At 36.0% G+C, this 17,052-nt stretch overlaps 2 protein-coding genes across 3 annotated transcripts in view; one reads left to right on the top strand and one right to left on the bottom strand.

Moving 5' to 3' along the window:
- The window catches only part of MMP26 (matrix metallopeptidase 26), a 287,646-nt gene that overhangs the window by 244,595 nt on the left and 25,999 nt on the right, over positions 1–17,052 (top strand). The window lies entirely within an intron of this gene.
- Positions 5,394–6,335, bottom strand: OR51A2 (olfactory receptor family 51 subfamily A member 2). Its single transcript, NM_001004748.1, has one exon. The coding sequence runs from the start codon at positions 6,333–6,335 to the stop codon at positions 5,394–5,396; it is 942 nt and encodes a 313-aa protein (NP_001004748.1).

A 17,052-nucleotide genomic window follows, 5' to 3' on the forward strand; every position in this document is an offset into this window, starting at 1 on the left:
AGCTATAATTATAATAATAAAATGAGGCATGTATATTAATTATTAATATCTCATTCTAGAGACGTGAAGTATTGTTCTTGTAAAAAACAAAATGTTGCAAATCAGTTGAGGTTTCTCTTGGCCCCATATACTGAAATAATAGTGAAGGGGGGCAAATCATACAGATGAGATACAGCTAAAGCAGTTCCTATACAGAAAATTATAGGTTAAATTTATTTATTAGGAAATAAGAGTTGAAAAATCAAAAAATGTAACTTCTATTTCAAGAAGATAGTGAAGGAATAACAACAAAATCTCCAAAAAAATGAAGAAAATAAACTGGTAAAATCAGAAATGAATAAAATAGAAATATGATATAAAATAATGTCATCAAAGCAGAAATTTCATTCCTTAACAAGTTTTAAAAAATCCATAATTTAACAAAACTGAAAGAATAAAGAGATAAAACACTAAACTTATTTTAATGTATACCATTTGAACTAATGTATGTATACCCATTTCAGGGTATACATACCCATTTCAGGTACCCAGAATATGCCATTTGAACTAATGGCACTTATTCCGGAGTCATGAAAATTTTACATTTCAATCTTTATGGTAAGGCATTAGAATCACCCAGGGAGCTCTCAAAAGTTGTGATATTCAGGTTCACTTGATTTATGACAGTGACACAATTCTATAAGGAATAGATGGTATTTACAATAGATAGAGCAATTTAAATGCAAGTAGAAAGAAAGAAATCTTGAGTTTTATCAAAACATTAATTTGAGTTGGACAATAGGCCTAAGTATTCAAGGTAAAACAAAAAATCTTGTAGAAAAACTATGGTAATATTTTCATGATTTGGGATAACCATGGATACAACCAGGAAAAACAAATTTCATAGACAGAATTAATTAATAGAAAGCATTTCCATGGAAAGACCTCTGGGAATAAATAATATCATCATATGGAATAGTACTCAGCCTTAAAAAAAGGATGAAATTCTGTCATTTGCTACAACATGGATGGAACTGGAGAACATTATGTTAAATAAAATAAGCCAGGCACAGAAAGACAAACACTGCATGTTCTCACTTAGATGTGGAATCTAAAACAATTGAACTCATAGAAACAAAGTAGCATGATGAATACTAGATGATGGGGATGGGGGGAGTCTGGAGATGATAGTCAAAAGGTAAAAAGTTAGAAAGAATAAATTCGATTATTTTATAACAATAGCACAGCATGCTGAATATAGCTAATATTTGAGTCCTCTGTATTTCAATATTTCTAAGAGTAAATTTCTAATGTTCTCATCAAAAAAAAATATTATTATTATATATATCTGACAAATGATATGTAAAGAACTGCAAATGAATAAGTAAAATTCAGTAAAAAATAGGCAATGCACTTGACTTGCACTGTTCAATTTGCATTTGGAAAAATGCAAATTAATATCACAATGAGGTATTATATCATACCCATTAGAATGGCTAACATCAAAAAGAATAACAATCCCAAATTGTGGTGAATATGTGGAGAACTAGAATGCTTACACTTTGCTATTAGATGTGTAAATCAGTGCAAGTTCTTTGGTGACAAAGTTTAGCATTATCTTCTATAGGTACATAAATACCTACCCTATGACTTAAAATATCATTTCTAAAAAAGTTAGTTCCTGTTTCAAGCAAACACATTCTAAGAATGTCTATAGGAACTTTATCATATTAGCCAACATTTGAAAAAGACTCTAATATTCATCAACATGTGAATGGGTAAAATTGAATTAGGTATTCTGATTTAATTGACTATGATGTTAACCTGAATATCACAACTTTTGAGAGCTCCCTGGGTGATTTTAATGCCTTACCATAAAGATTGAAATGTAAAATTTTCATGACTCCAGAATAAGTGCCATTAGTTCAAATGGCATATTTCTGGGTACCTGTCTGTCTTTGATGGCTTGATTTCTCCATGAGTCACAATTACTGCTAGGTACAAAGGTACTTAATCACTGATGCAGAATAATGTATGCTTTTTAAAGTGCTACCAGTGAACTCTCTCCAGGCTGTTACATAAACTGATTTCTTAGATTATCATTTAGTGATCATTTTTTGTAAATAATATTTTTGTTATTATTGTTTCTCACTGAAGTGATTCTGCCATTATTGGCTGTTCTAGTAGATAAATACTGGGTTGTTAGGTTTCTTAAAAAATAATTTTTATGTTGTTTGTTCCTGTCTGATACCATTTCTCCAAACTTTCTGGAAAGAGAATGGCCATTTTAATATATCACAGTCACAGTGATAGGGGTTGTGGCACAGAGATTGGCATATGAACCAATTGCACCAGTCACATTAAGTTTTTATCCTTGGTATACTGATTACTTCTGCTTAGAATATTAAGGAAGCTATTAAACATTTTTCTTTTAAGTGGATCTGAGAGTGACAGTTCTCTCTCCTCTCTTCATTGAGAGAGAAAAAGTGCTCTACTGCCTATTTGTCTGCCCACGATTTAGCAAACTACGTGGGTTAGTTTTGTTCAAAACACGTATAGAAACAAAACAGAGAGCTGAAGCATGTAAGTTAGCGGTGATAACAACTTCTTTGCAGCACTTAAGTGTCCTGTAGCTCACAAGGTTCCTACAACTTTTAATTCAAGTCTGTCTGCTGTTATGATATTTTACCTCAGAATGTTTACGTTTCTTTAAGATAATATTGGGTTTGCTGTTGTTTGCCATGTTCTTCATTTCAGGAACATGTGCAAATCATTATGTTCACCATAAATCATCACCTCCCCCATAGGCATTCATGTATCTGTATTTTATTTTTCATTTTATTTTATTAAGACTGCCCAAAACCCCAAAAATACAGATTATCTTTGAGACTCTTGAATGAGACATCTATGTACAATATCCTGAAAGAATAAGATGCTTATTAAAGCCAACTAATTGCTCCTCATCTTGTTAGTGGAAATGAAGTCTTTATATTGAGCTGCCTATCCTCACCCTGAGAGAATAGGAGCTTCTGTTTCTTTCAATTAATAAAGCATGTCAACTACTGCTTTGTTGTACTACAACCCCAAACCCATATCTGTATTTGTAAGACTTTGGAAAAGGCAGATGGATATAGTTACGCACCTTGAACACAGAAGCAGTTCTTGCCCTGATCTGATAATAGGATTTCCTATACTAGGACAGGTTTGTGAAAACATATGTAGTTCTGAATTTAAAAACTAAAATGTACTCAAGATAATACTATCCTGGAGTATCAGAGATTAGGTTTGAATCCCAGCTTTTGATTTCCTCTCTGTGTGAGTTTCATAAAATCAAACTCTCAGAGCCTCAATCTCTTCAACTAAAATAAATAAGAAAAAACCCTTTATAAAAAGCTGGGTCATTGTGAAAAATAGCTTTTTTAAAATGCCTAAAAATACCTGGAAGCACATCGTGCATGTATTAGAGGTTTGAAAGCAATACTTGTATCTATTAAAATTTTCCATTAATTGGGAGGTACTGTCAGCTGTGGGCTGATTATTTTTTTTAAGCATTTGACATTCCTGGAAGGTGTTTCTTGATTTACCTGAGGATGAAGTGTAGGAGACTTGAACTGGCATGGTTGATGGAAATGACTTGATTCAACGAGTGGGTAAAATGAAAAGGCTAAAGTGGTTTTCACAATATGCAAGATTTTGAGGTCATAGTGGGAAGGAAAGTTGGACTATTTTTCAGCCACAAATCTAAAGCAATAAATTTCTCTTTGTACCATATCTTTTTTCCTGTTTTAAAAATCTTTAGCATCAATGATACGCCTGTATTTGAAATAGACAATTTAAGAAAATTGTATCCTACCATGAATAAATATTACTAAACTCTTCAGAGAGCAAGTTTTTCTACAAACATGGTCTTATTTTTAAAATCATTCATTAGCATTTATTTATTGAACTCTACTCTTCATCAGAAATGTTCTAGACATTAGGTAGGAAAAATTAAAGAAAATAGATAGGTTTCTTCAATCGCTCATAATACACTTTATTCAAGAAGTAGAAAGAAATGAAATAAGCACAAAAGTTATCTATAATTGCAAATATTAAGTATAATAAAGAATAAAGAATAAACAAGTAATAAAAGAGATAAAAGAGAGGGTCATAATACAAGCTTGGGCTAGGTAATTTATGATGAAATTAAGCCAACATTTAAAGAAAAAAGAAAAGGAATGCCTTACACAAAATTGGTGTCAAGCATTTTAACAAAAGAGTTCTGATGTGAAAACTCACAGGAAGAAAAGAGCTCTGTAAATTCAAAAACGATTCAGTAGGTCAATGTGGCTGGAGATTAATGAATATCTGATGATGTTGAACAAGTAGAAAGGGTCCAGCTCATGTAGGGTCTCGGAATATGTTCTTCCTTCGGCTTGGCGTGTTGGCTCACGCCTGTAATACCAGCACTTTGGGAGGCCAAGGCAGGCGGATCACTTGAGGTCAGGAGTTTGAGACCAACCTGGCCAACATGGTGAAACCCTGTCTCTACAAAAAATACAAAAATCAGCCAGGCGTGGTGACATGCGCCTGTAATCCTAGATACTCGGGAGGCTGAGAGGCAAGAGAATCGCTTGAACCTGGGAGGCGGAGGTTGCAGTGAGCAGAGATTGTGCTACTGCACCCCAGCTTGGGCTACAGAGCAAGATTTCGTCTCAAAAAAAATTTCTTTATTGATTTAATTGTATTTCTAAAGAAGTGAGAGTTCAAATTTAAAAGAGGCACTCATATATTCAGTTTGCCTTTTTAATTACTCTTGCCTTGCATAGCGAATCTTTTATAAGGCAGGGAACTTAGCAATATTTTACTGAAGAAATGCTTGGTGACTTCTAGGGTGGGGAAATGATGGGGCGGGGATTGGACTGAAAAACTATCTGTTGGGTACTATGCTCACTACCTGGGTCCAATACCCATGTAAAAATCCAACCCATATCAAATATAAAAGCTGGAATTTAAAAAAGATGGTGACATACTAACATGATTAAAATGGATAGAGAGACAGATATAATATAAAATTTGGGTCTAGCAGTAAAAGAACCTGGTATAGAGAGACTGAATGTAGATAACGAGGAATCCAACTTCTGTCAGAACTGTAAAAATTATCGTTTTTCTGTCTTGGTTGTAATTTGTTGTTTGTATCAGAGGTGCTATCATAAGACATTTATTTTTATTCTGCTTAACTGAAATGGGGACATAAGGCAACGTACTTCCTGGTTACAGTTTTATTCCCATTCTCAGTATCTAGAGTGAATAAAATAAGTCTGTGATAACGATAAAAATATGTGTTGATAATTCTTGGTGTCAAATATTAGGTTTCTCAAATTTACCTTAAATATCTTACCAGACATTTCCAGGTTTTCTGTCACATATGACTGTTAAATCTTCCATTGACACAATTTTGCTACAACTCTCACTCTAATCTGTTTAGTTTTTACACAATAAACAATTGGTTTCATCAGCGGAGGTACAAGTAGGAGAACATTTGCCATGAGAACATTAATGAGGGGAGAGACATGCCCGGCAAAGCGGTGGACAACGGCCAGGTTGATGATGGGCAGGTAGAAGATGATCACTGCACAGATGTGTGAAACACAAGTATTGAGAGCCTTAAGCTCCTCCTTTTTGGATGCAATTCCCGGTACAGTCTTGAGGATCAGGGTGTAAGACACAGCAATGAGAATAAAGTCTACCATAAGGCAGAGTGCTCCAAAAAAGCCATAGATAACATCAATTCTGTTGTCAGAACAGGCCAACTTCATGACATCCTGGTGGAGACAGTAGGAATGGGATAATTGGTTTTTCTTGCAATATCTCAAGCTTCTTAAAGTGAAAGGGAAGGGAAGAACCAGGAGCATGCTCTTAAAGGAGAATACTATCCCTATTTGGGCAACTCTGACAGTTGTCAGGATTGAGGTGTATCTCAGAGGATTGTGGATGGCTAGGAATCTATCAAATGACATGATCAGGAGGACTGAGGACTCCAGTACTGAGAATCCATGAATGAAGAATTCCTGGGCAAAGCAGGCACTAGAAGAAGTTTCAGGGGCATTGAACAGGAAGATGCTTAACACAGTGGGCAGAGATGATAAAGACAAACCCAAGTCTGACATAGCCAACATGGAAAGAAAATAGTACATGGGCCCATGCAAGGAGGGCTCTGTCTTGATGATAAAAAGAATGGTGCCATTTCCTAGAATAGCAATAAGATACATGCTGCAGATGGGGATAGAGATCCAGATGTGTGCATATTCTAGCCCTGGCATCCCAACCAAGAAGAAGGTGGTGATTTCAACATATGATGTGTTGATAATGGACATGATTCATTCATAGGGCTCTGCTATGAAAAATACAGATACACCTGACCTCAGGTGATCCGCTTGCTTGTGTTGGTAAAATAGGCATATCTGTAAATTTAGTAGAAAAAAAGCAGTGTTAAAATTTGTGGCTTCTTTCAGCTTTCTTTTGAGAGAACAAAGCATTTATGTGGCTATCATAATGAAGAGAGATGGGTAATACTTTAGAGTAGAATCTGTCTATTAATGCATTGGGAAAATTATTTCTGGACATGTTATTTCTATAGAGAATCCAGGTTTAAATTTTGCAGTTAGTTACACGTCTGATTTTATTTTTCCTGTAAAATATGAGTAAATCCTAGTGAATTAACTGGAATGCTATACTAATTCTTTCTTTCAGATGTATGTTGTGATCTTCAGTTCTATGTGATCAGTTGCCAAAAAAGAAGTCAAGTGAAAGCCAAATAAATGAGAATATCTGGGCACTTACCAGAGAGTGGATATTTTGGCGGGCATTTTTGATAAAAGCTAAAGAATCCTGATATACAAACCCAAGGCATTGCTGAATTTATCTGCCACAAAAGACTGCTCTTATTCACTTTTACCTAACCAGTGGCTCTCGGGTCACAGAGTTCTCTGGGGATTGCAGCCAGGGTGGATCTTTTCTGAAAATTGGAATAAACATTTGTAGATACAGTAAATCTACAGAGATAGTTGTTACCAAGGAAACTAAAACAACATCTAGTAACACCTGTAATAAGGGATGATTTGTTTGGAGAGAGGTCCTTAATTGGCAGGTATTAGAGAGACATGGTAAATTCTCTGCAAAAGCTTGGATATTTCTGAATGGATAGTTGGCTTGTGTATTTCTCCTCTGCACAAGGCCAAGTCTAAGCAGAGATGCTATGAGTTGATTCTGCATTCAAGGAAGTGTTGCAGGACAAACATCCTGGGACACAATGTGTTATCCTAGATTTTATTCCTGAATCCTGGATCCATCTCCCCGGACCCATTAGACATCGCTAACTAAATATCCCTTAAAACCAACTTGTCCAACTTAGACAAGTTTTTCTCCCTTACCAAATCTTCCTAGTTTAAGGGACCTACTTCAGTAATAAGCCTTTAAGAATTTGCAAGCCAAATATCTGAGATTCTTTGTCTTACATTTTGTACACAATAATGACCAATATTTCTTAGAAAATTAAATTGTTTTACTTACTGAGTTCCATTACCAGATGATGATTTGGAATCTTGAAATTTTTTAAATAATATAATCAAGTTATATCATTATCTTCATTTTACTGATGAAGAAAATTTTTCTCAAGATCAAGTCGTCTGTTTAAGATCACAGAAGTGTTGTAGGGTAGAGGTAAGATAGCAACTCAGGTCTGTTATTTTACTGATAATTAGGTGTATACCACACTGTCAGGATGGTCAAGCAATATTTAAAGAGTTATGAACTGAATGTAGCTCGTGAGAAGTAAAAGGCAATTTTTAAATTAAGATACACACATTTAAATATAAACAATGCCTGCCTGCTGTTTCATACTGGCATAAAAGCAATTTTTTTGAAGAAAATGTGTTTACATCATTGTAAAAACATAAACATTCCAAAGAGTTAAAGAATATATTTGCAAATAAAAGTAAAGTTAATCTATATCTTCTGCTTTCACACCAATTTGTAGAAAATTGGCATTATTCTACAAAGGGCATCCAGGTCAATTGCTCATCATAATGCCTTATTCTTTTTTCCTCTTTCTTTGTCCTCTTGTAATTGGGCAGCATAGCTTCCAACTTGTTGTAAAACTTTTTTTTATTCCTTTCGTCCTTTCCCCCGATGAGAAAAACTGCAGATGTTTTTCTCTTATCTTGAAATACAGCCTGAAAATGAGGTATAAAACTCCACCTTACACTCCCACACCTTATGCACATTTGTTATTCTGGTTGCCTGTTAAACTCACACTATGCTCATTTATCACACACACTTCTGTTTTTTTTTCTTTTTTTTTTGGAGATAGAGTCTCACTCTGTCACCCAGGTTGGAGTGCAGTGGATCTCGCCTCACTGCAACCTCCATCTCCTAGGTTCAAGCGATTCTCCTGCCTCAACCTCCCAAGTAGCTGGGACTACAGGTGTGAGCCAACACCCAAGCTAATTTTTTTGTATTTTTAGTAGAGATGGGGTTTTGCCATGTTGGCCAGGCAGGTCTCGAACTCCTGACCTCAGGTGATCCGCTTGCTTCAGCCTCCCAGCATATATTTCCTTAGAAGCTTCAGAGGCTTAATTTTGACACAACTAGGCACCTCCAGAATTGTCTTCCCAGCAGAAAATTACTCCAAGGCCAGAATTCACTCCCAACAAGAGTTTAACTGTGAGATTAACTGCAATTAATTTGTAATCTGGTTGGGCCCATGATGGCGCCAGCTCCTTCACTAGATGGAACAATAATTCAAGATAAGACATTGGAGCAAGTCACAGCAGCTGGCACCTCCTATCCCCCCTTCCTCTTCTGCATTTCAATCCCCTCTTCTTAAAGCCCTTGTGCTCTGTCCAGAATTTGGAAAAGTGACAATTTTTCGAAATAATTCCTGCCGTTTTTACCTCTTGCTAGCGCGAACAATAAAGCTCACCCTTTTTCTATCGTATCTCACTCTTTTTATTTTTTGCTTCTTTCTAGAAGTAGTGAGTAGCTGCACCCTTTTGCTGGTTACAATCTCATATGATGCAAGAGTCTTATTTATTTTCTATAGAACAAGTTCAGATTTTTCTATTGTTGATTCTTTCCTAATATTCTTAAAATCTCATAATGCCTTACTCTGCTTCTCTCTTTTCATATCTATCTATCTGTCTATCTATCTATCATGTCTCTATCAACCATCTATCTTCTCTATCATCTATCATTTATATCCATCTATCATCTATCTGTATCTATCTGGTTTGTTAATTTGTATTTTTCTTTCTCCTGTATCTTTTCTCTTTTCTCTAACTTACCATCTATAACAATATATGCCTGCTGTGTTTCTGAGGTGCTATTCCTGTAGTTACGCCTCTTGAGCTTTTGAATTGTTTTCCTTGAATTAAACTACATTTCCTCAGGTTGAATCCCTTGCTTAGTTTGATTTCTGTCTCTAAGTTGCTTATCAGAGGGTTAGTAATAAACATACCCACAACAAAATAAAGTTTTGAAGGAGATGAACAAGAAATAATAGGATAACTAGCAGAGAATACAGAGGAATTTCTAGATCCAATTAACAAATGCAGAAGATAGGCCGGGCGCGGTGGCTCACGCCTGTAATCCCACCACTTTGGGAGGCCGAGGCGGGCAGATCATGAGGTCATGAGATCGAGACCATCCTGGCTAACACGGTGAAACCCAGTCTCTACTAAAAATACAAAAAATTAGCCGGGCGTGGTGGCGGGCGCCTGTAGTCCCAGCTACTCGGGAGGCTGAGGCAGGAGAACGGCGTGAATACGGGAGGCGGAGCTTGCAGTGAGCTGAGATCTCGCCACCGCACTCTAGCCTGGGCGACAGAGAGAAACTCTGTCTCAAAAAAAAAAAAAAAAAAAAAAAAAAATCTTACAAGATTTCACTGAATTTCTATTACATTGCAATTTGGAAGGTACTTACCACAAATATCAAAGGAGGCCATTATATCCACAGTTGTTACAAAATGCCTTTGTGCTGGGTATAGGATGTGTCTTCCTCAAATATGAGTTTGACCATTCTGTCTTCTCTTAATAAAAGTCAGAAAAATCTTCCAAGTCAACTCTCTTGATTGAAACACAATCCCTGCCCTCTCTTCTGCTAGGCTATACACACTTTAGCCTCTAGAATGTCATCACTCCCCCTACTTAAGTCCTCTGTTGCACGGGTCTATTTTCCCCTGAACACACCAGAAAGCATCTTGCTTCCATACCATTGCTTCAGAAGATGATCTGAAGTAAAGTGTGCAGGGAATTCATATTATCTCTTTAAGTGGTATCCAGTTCAATCATTTATTGTGTTGATTTATTTTCTTTTCTTGTCCTCTATTGCCCTCACGTATGTTACAAGACCCTTAGAGGTTTATTTTGCATATAATCAGCCCTAACTTGTTTATTGTTGACTGTTTTCTAAATATACTCATACTCTCACAATACTTTTCTCCATTCCTCTTTTTCTTGAATGTGTTTGTGCCTGTGTGAGTGTGTATGTGTATTCATTTTTCTCCTATATCTTTTTTCTCACCTTTAGACTCACAATCCATAAATCAAAACATATGGCTGCTGTGCTTCTGAGCTGTTACACCTGTGACCACTTCTCTTTGAGTTTTTGAAATTTTTTCACTGAATTTCATTTCAGCCCCGCCCCCCCACCCAGGAGAATGCCTTGCTGAGACTTCTGTCTCCAAGTTGGCTATTAGCAATTTAGTAATAAATATATTCTCAGCAAAATAAAATTTTGAAGCAAATGGACATGGCATAATGGGTTAAATAGTGTTGAACAGAAAGAAAATTCTAGGTGCAATTGGCACATAGGAAGAAAATAAATATCTTAAAAGCAATTGATTGAATGGTGACTACATTCACGTTTTTGGATAGTACTTAACCACTAGTATCAATGGAGCTCAAAAATGCCTGTGTGCTATGTGCCTGATTTTTTTTTTTTCTGTAATGTTAGTTTGATTATTCTGTCTTAAGAAAGGTCATGATGCCCCACTCCACCTCAACTGTCAAACATCTTTATTGACATGCAAAGACCTGCTCTCTGCCCAGTCAGGCTAGACAAACATCCAGCCTCTGTAACATCATTCCCACCCCCCACCCACTTAAGTTTTCTGTTGCTGCTACGTGGGTCTATTATCTGCTAAACACATATACCATAAAACTTCCTTTTTCCATACTATTGCTTCAGAGGGTGATCTGCAATTGGATCTGATCATAATCCTGAAAGAAATAATCCTGATTGCTGAAATCTCAAAATATCAAAATCTCCAAAGTCCAAAACTCCAAAAATTACAGTACCAAAAGGCCAAAATACAGAAAATACATTTCTGAAAAAAATATTTAAAATATATTTATTTACATTTAAAAAGGGGATTTATTTGAGAAATATAAAAAGCATAGCAGAACATTTCATAAGCCACTTTACACAATAAAATATATAATAATGACATACATATTTTTGCAAGCATAAATGCAAAGGCATATATTAACAACAATCACAGGGGTATAATAGTTACTGAGCAAACAAACAGTATACATAAAAAGATAAGTCAAAAAGGGAAATGTATAAATGCATGAAGCTATAGTCAGTAATTGTATGCACTCAGCTTTATAACTGCAATTATCTGAAATACTGTTTTGAGCAACCTAAGCCTTTTGATGAGATCAGTCAAATAGTGTGATGAGTCATCACCACATATAGTCACCTAAAGAGCCGAGATCTCAAGAAATTTTGTCTTCACAACTGCAGATGTACCTAAAGGATATTTCTTCATTTACCAAGGAAGTTTCAGTGTTTCTACATACACGCATATGTTTACACACAAAGTCAATTTTGTGATAATGCATTTTCATGGAGTTAAATTTCCGATGTCCAAGGGAGCAGTAGAAAAGTCTGTCCTAGCTTTCAGTAAAAGACTAATTTGGCTTCTGTATCTGTTCCCTCTGGGCCCCTGGCTGATTCGATGGTGCCCAGCAACATTGAGGGTAGATATTTCCCACCCAGTCCTCTTACACGCACACACTGATCTCCTCTGGAAATACCCTCACGGACACATCCAAAATAATATTTTACCAGGTTTCTAGCTATTCCTTAATCCAGTCAAGTTGACACCTAAAATTAAGTCCACAAGTTCACCCCTTGTCAATTTGGCAACCATAAGCATCTCCTTAAACTATACTTCATTTCCAAATAAAGACAATAACAAAGTAATAGTTTCATCTAACATGATGCAACCGTCCTGCAGACAGGCAAAAATGTACTAATGTACTAATCTATTCTTCAGAATTTGGCTTTCATAATTTCAACACTTGGGATTTTAATTTTTGGGAGATTGCAATTTTTGAGGTTTTAGATTTCAGGGATATGAACATTAAGAATTTTTAACTTTTGGGACTTCAACTTTCTGAATTATGGTATTCGGGATTGTATCTTTTGAGATTCTGACCCAAACTCATCTGAAATGAAGTGTGCAGTAATCAATGAAAAACAGTTTCAAGGATACCTGTCTATAAATAATACTATAAATCATTTGCCTTTAATATGGAAATACATAGAACAGAATTGGCATTTTCAACATTATAAAATTGGAGCAACCCCTGTTTTTTTCTGCTGCTTGGAGTGCTGTGTCTTTTGTTTTTTGTTTTTGTTTGTTTGTTTTTTGTATATTTATTCCTATCCTATCTGCTGGTAAGCACAAATTAATCCTCAAATCCTTGGTCAAGTTCTAGATCAGTAGTGGAAGCAGCGGCAACTCAGTGTGTAGTGTGCTCCTTGATAACATTGCTGTTTTGTCTCCTCCCTCTAAAGTCTCAGAATCACATATAAGCAGATATCATTTTACTTACACTAAAATACACTGAATGAATTAAAAGTCCTAGTCTCAATTTGGAGACCTCTGTATTTCAATTAAGTGATTACATGAAATGTATATAAAACCCACTCTCACAACATTACTTAGAACTTATGAAATTATAGATTTTTAGGAGAGTCATAAGGTTGCTTTCTTATTTATCAATAGAAAAATATATATAAAGCAAATATTTAAACCTGATTAGAAGCGTGCTGGGTTAGGACAGATGATAGAGGCAGAAACTCCTAGTGGTCACTGTTGCTTTCTCACAGATGCCCATTGCAAGCTCAGTGGTTTCACATATCTCTACCCCCAAACAACTTATTTCAACGTGTAAGGCAGTAATTCTATAATTCAGGAAAATGTTACCTAAAAGCCAGATCCAGGTACGGGATTTTAATTTTTTTCTGTGTTGAAATAGTAATTCGGGTTTAGCACTTGGTTGATTTCCGAAAGTTGGCACAACTCTGGACTTCGATCCTGCATTTACATACATTGTTGGACTTTTTGACAAGTTGGGGTACTGGCATGCATTTTAATCACTTGGAGAACAGAGTCAAACAAAAAGCATGTGAACTTCTGGGTTGAGCTGGTGCAAAGGCAAAGTAGCAACTGTGACATTAGTAAGCTAAACAGAAAGTTGATAAATAGTTGAGCCCACATGTCAAAGTACAGGGGAAATAGAAACAGAACACACTTACCAGAGTTTTGCTGCTGTGTAAATGTAAGAATTTATCCTCATCTGCCAAGTCTCATCCTGCCTAACAGATGCTTTCCCATTAGCCAAGAAAGCCCTGGGGATTCCAACTCAGCAGAATGTACTTAAATTCCTATCTACCAATAATAGACAAACAGAGAGCCAAATCATGAGTGAACTCCCATTAACAACTGCTACGAAGAGAATAAAATACTTAGGAATACAACTTACAAGGGATGTGAAGGACCTCTTCAAGGAGAACTACAAACCACTGGTCAAGGAAATAAGAGAGGACACAAACAAATGGAAAAACACTCCATGCTCATGGATAGGAAGAACCAATATCATGAAAATGGCCATACTGCCCAAAGTAATTTATAGATTCAATGCTATCCCCATCAAGCTACCATTGACTTTCTTCACAGAGTTAGAAAAAACTACTTTAAATTTCATATGGAACCAAATAAGAGCCCATATAGCCAAGACAATCCTAAGCAAAAAGAACAAAGCCGGAGGCATCATACTACCTGACTTCAAACTATACTACAAGGCTACAGTAACCAAAACAGCATGGTACTGTACCAAAACGGATATATAGACCGATGGAACAGAACAGAGGCCTCAGAAATAATGCCAAACATCTACAACCTTCTGATCTTTGTCCTTGCTTTTTATGACGTGTTATTTACAGAGGTTCAATAAGAACCTGACTTCTTTTGAAGCATGATACAATTTGAAAGATTGATACACTGTCTTCACAATAGTTGAACTAATTTACACTCTTACCAATGGTGTAAAAGCGTTCCTTTTTCTCCACAACCTCACCAGCATCTGTTGGTTTTTAATTTTTTAATTATAGCAATTCTGACTGGTGTGAGATGGCATCTCATCGTGGTTTTGATTTGCATTTCTCTAATGATCAGTGAGGTTGAGCTTTTTTTCATGTTTGTTGGCTGCTTGTATGTCTTCTTTTGAGAAGTATCTATTCATGTCCTTTGACCACTTTTTAAGGGGGTTGATTTTTTTCTTGTAAATTTGTTTAAGTTCCCATAGACGCTGGATATTAGATTTTTGCCAGATGGTCAGATTGCAAAAAATTTCTCTCATTATGTAGGTTGTCTCTTTACTCTGTTGATAGTTTCTTTTGCTGTGCAGAAGCTCTTTAGTTTAATTAGATCCCATTTGTCAATTTTTGGTTTTGTTGCAATTGCTTTTCGTATCTTTGTCATGAAATCTTTGCCCAAGCCTATGTTCTTAATGGTATTGCCTAGGTTTTCTTCTAAGGTTTTTATAATTTTGAGTTTTACAGGTAAGTCTTTAATCCATCTTGAGTTGATTTTTATATATGGTGTAAGGGGGACTTCCAGTTTCAATTTTCTGCATAATGGCTAGCCAGTTTTCCTAGCACCATTTATTAAATAAGGAATCCTTTCCCCATTGCTTATTTTTGTCAGGTTTGTTGAAGATCAGATGGTTGTAGGTATATGGTCTTATTTCTGGACTGTCTATTCTGTTCCATTGGTTTATGTGTCTGTTCTTGTACCAGTATTATGGAAGACAGTGTGGTGATTCCTCAAAGACCTAGAGGCAAAAATATCGTTCAACCCAGCAATCCCATTACTCGGTATATACCTAAAGGAATATAAATTATTCTATTATAAATATACGTGCACACATATGTTCATTGCAGTACCATTCATAATAGCAAAAACATGGAATAAACCTAAATGCTCACAAATGATAGACTGGATAAAGAAACTGTGGTACATACACACCATGGAATACTATGCAGCTGTAAAATGAATGAGATCATGTCCTTCGCAGCGACAAGGATGGAGCTAGAGACCATTATCATTAGCAAATTACCACAGGAACAGAAAACCAAATACTTTGTGTTCTCATTTATAAGTGGAGGCTGAATTATGGGAACACATGGACACATGCAGGGGAACAACACACACTGGGACCTGTTGGAGAGTTGGGGGTTGAGAGGAGAGAAAGAATTAGGAAGAATAGCTAATGGATGTTGGGCTTAATACTTAGGTGATGGAATGATCTGTGTAGCAAATCAACATGGTACACATTTACCTATGTAACAAACCTGTCCACATGCTGCACATGTACCGCTGAACTGAAAATTAAAGTTGATTATCCAACAAAGGACTTTCCTGGAGTATCACATTGGAGAATGTTTAATCAGATATGACCAGCCACTTTTAAGGAACTATAGTTGACTTTATGGATCCAATGCTGACAAATCTCTCCCAAGTAAGCCAGCCTCTTATCTGGCTTATGTGGTCTAGCCCTTAGAAGTGCTAAGAAAGATCACATCCTAGCAAGCCGAGATCCTTGGGATATTTTGTGGACTTTGAGAAAATAAAATATTACATTAAATTATAGATACCTAAAGGAGCAATTTGATGAAGAGAGTTTCTTGAACTAGGATTTCTAGATTAGGTACAGATATAAAAGTGGCTTTTAAATGTCTGATTTGAGATTCCTTATGAAAATTTTTAAGAAGGTTAAGGAGGCTTAGATGATAAATTAACTTTTTCCTTTCCTTACATAGATAATGAGGCCAAGTTTAATGAAAGTATTGTTTTGTGGTCAATATTAATCTTTCTTTGAGATGATTCTTTTTAATAAAAACTAGAAAGACTACAGGGAAAAGTTGTGTTTTGATGGAAAAGTATGCATTGCTTAGAGCACACCCTTCTGGGTTATCTGATTCCAAACAGATGGGGAATTTGTTCTTTCGTTGCCTTTGAGACATTTTACAACTCCGTAAGTTTTATTGGTTAACAGGAATCAAAGTAATTCATGTATGGAGACACGTAACTAAATTCTGTCTCATAGAGGTTCCATGGACTTTCTTCTACTGTGGAAGCATCCATTCCTATACTTATATGCAAATTCACATCAACATTCCTCCTATGACTATGTCTGTTCTGTGAATTCTCCTTCTAAGTAGTTGTAGCATTTGCCACATTTCCTCACTTAAAAAATAAATTACATGAGAACATCTTTAATGGATTTTTTATACCGTTTAAGCACCATGATTTGCCTTTTTATAAAAATTAAGTGGTTTACATTTTTGTATGGGAGAGAGAAAAAATATGTACAGTACAATGAGTTATGCATTAGTGTTAAAAATTATTCATGACGCTTTTTAAGAAACCTTAAGGAAGACTTTATTCATGGAGACTATGACAATAGCTATGGGGGTGACTACTACAGTGTGCTCTTACAATAGGGAAAAGAGATTAGACTCAACAAATACAGAAGGAAAAGGAGGACTTTATAGCCAAAAACAGAGCAGTGATGGGCAGGAGGAGTTGGTGGGTAGAAAATTGCTAAGAGGAAACATCAGGGGTATGGGTGCAGGTGTACTCTGGCCACACTGCTCTAACAGCTTGCCACTGCCATCCTCACTCCACTATCCACCAGGGTGATCAGGCATCATCGGGGGAATGGTAGAGGATAAGGT

The sequence above is a fragment of the Homo sapiens genome, chromosome 11, assembly GCF_000001405.40.
Source record: "Homo sapiens chromosome 11, GRCh38.p14 Primary Assembly".
Classification (NCBI taxonomy): Eukaryota; Metazoa; Chordata; class Mammalia; order Primates; family Hominidae; genus Homo; species Homo sapiens.

Excerpts from the sequence above, each read along its gene's own strand:
- OR51A2 (NM_001004748.1), bottom strand. The coding sequence starts at position 6,335 with ATGTCCATTATCAACACATCATATGTTGAAATCACCACCTTCTTCTTG.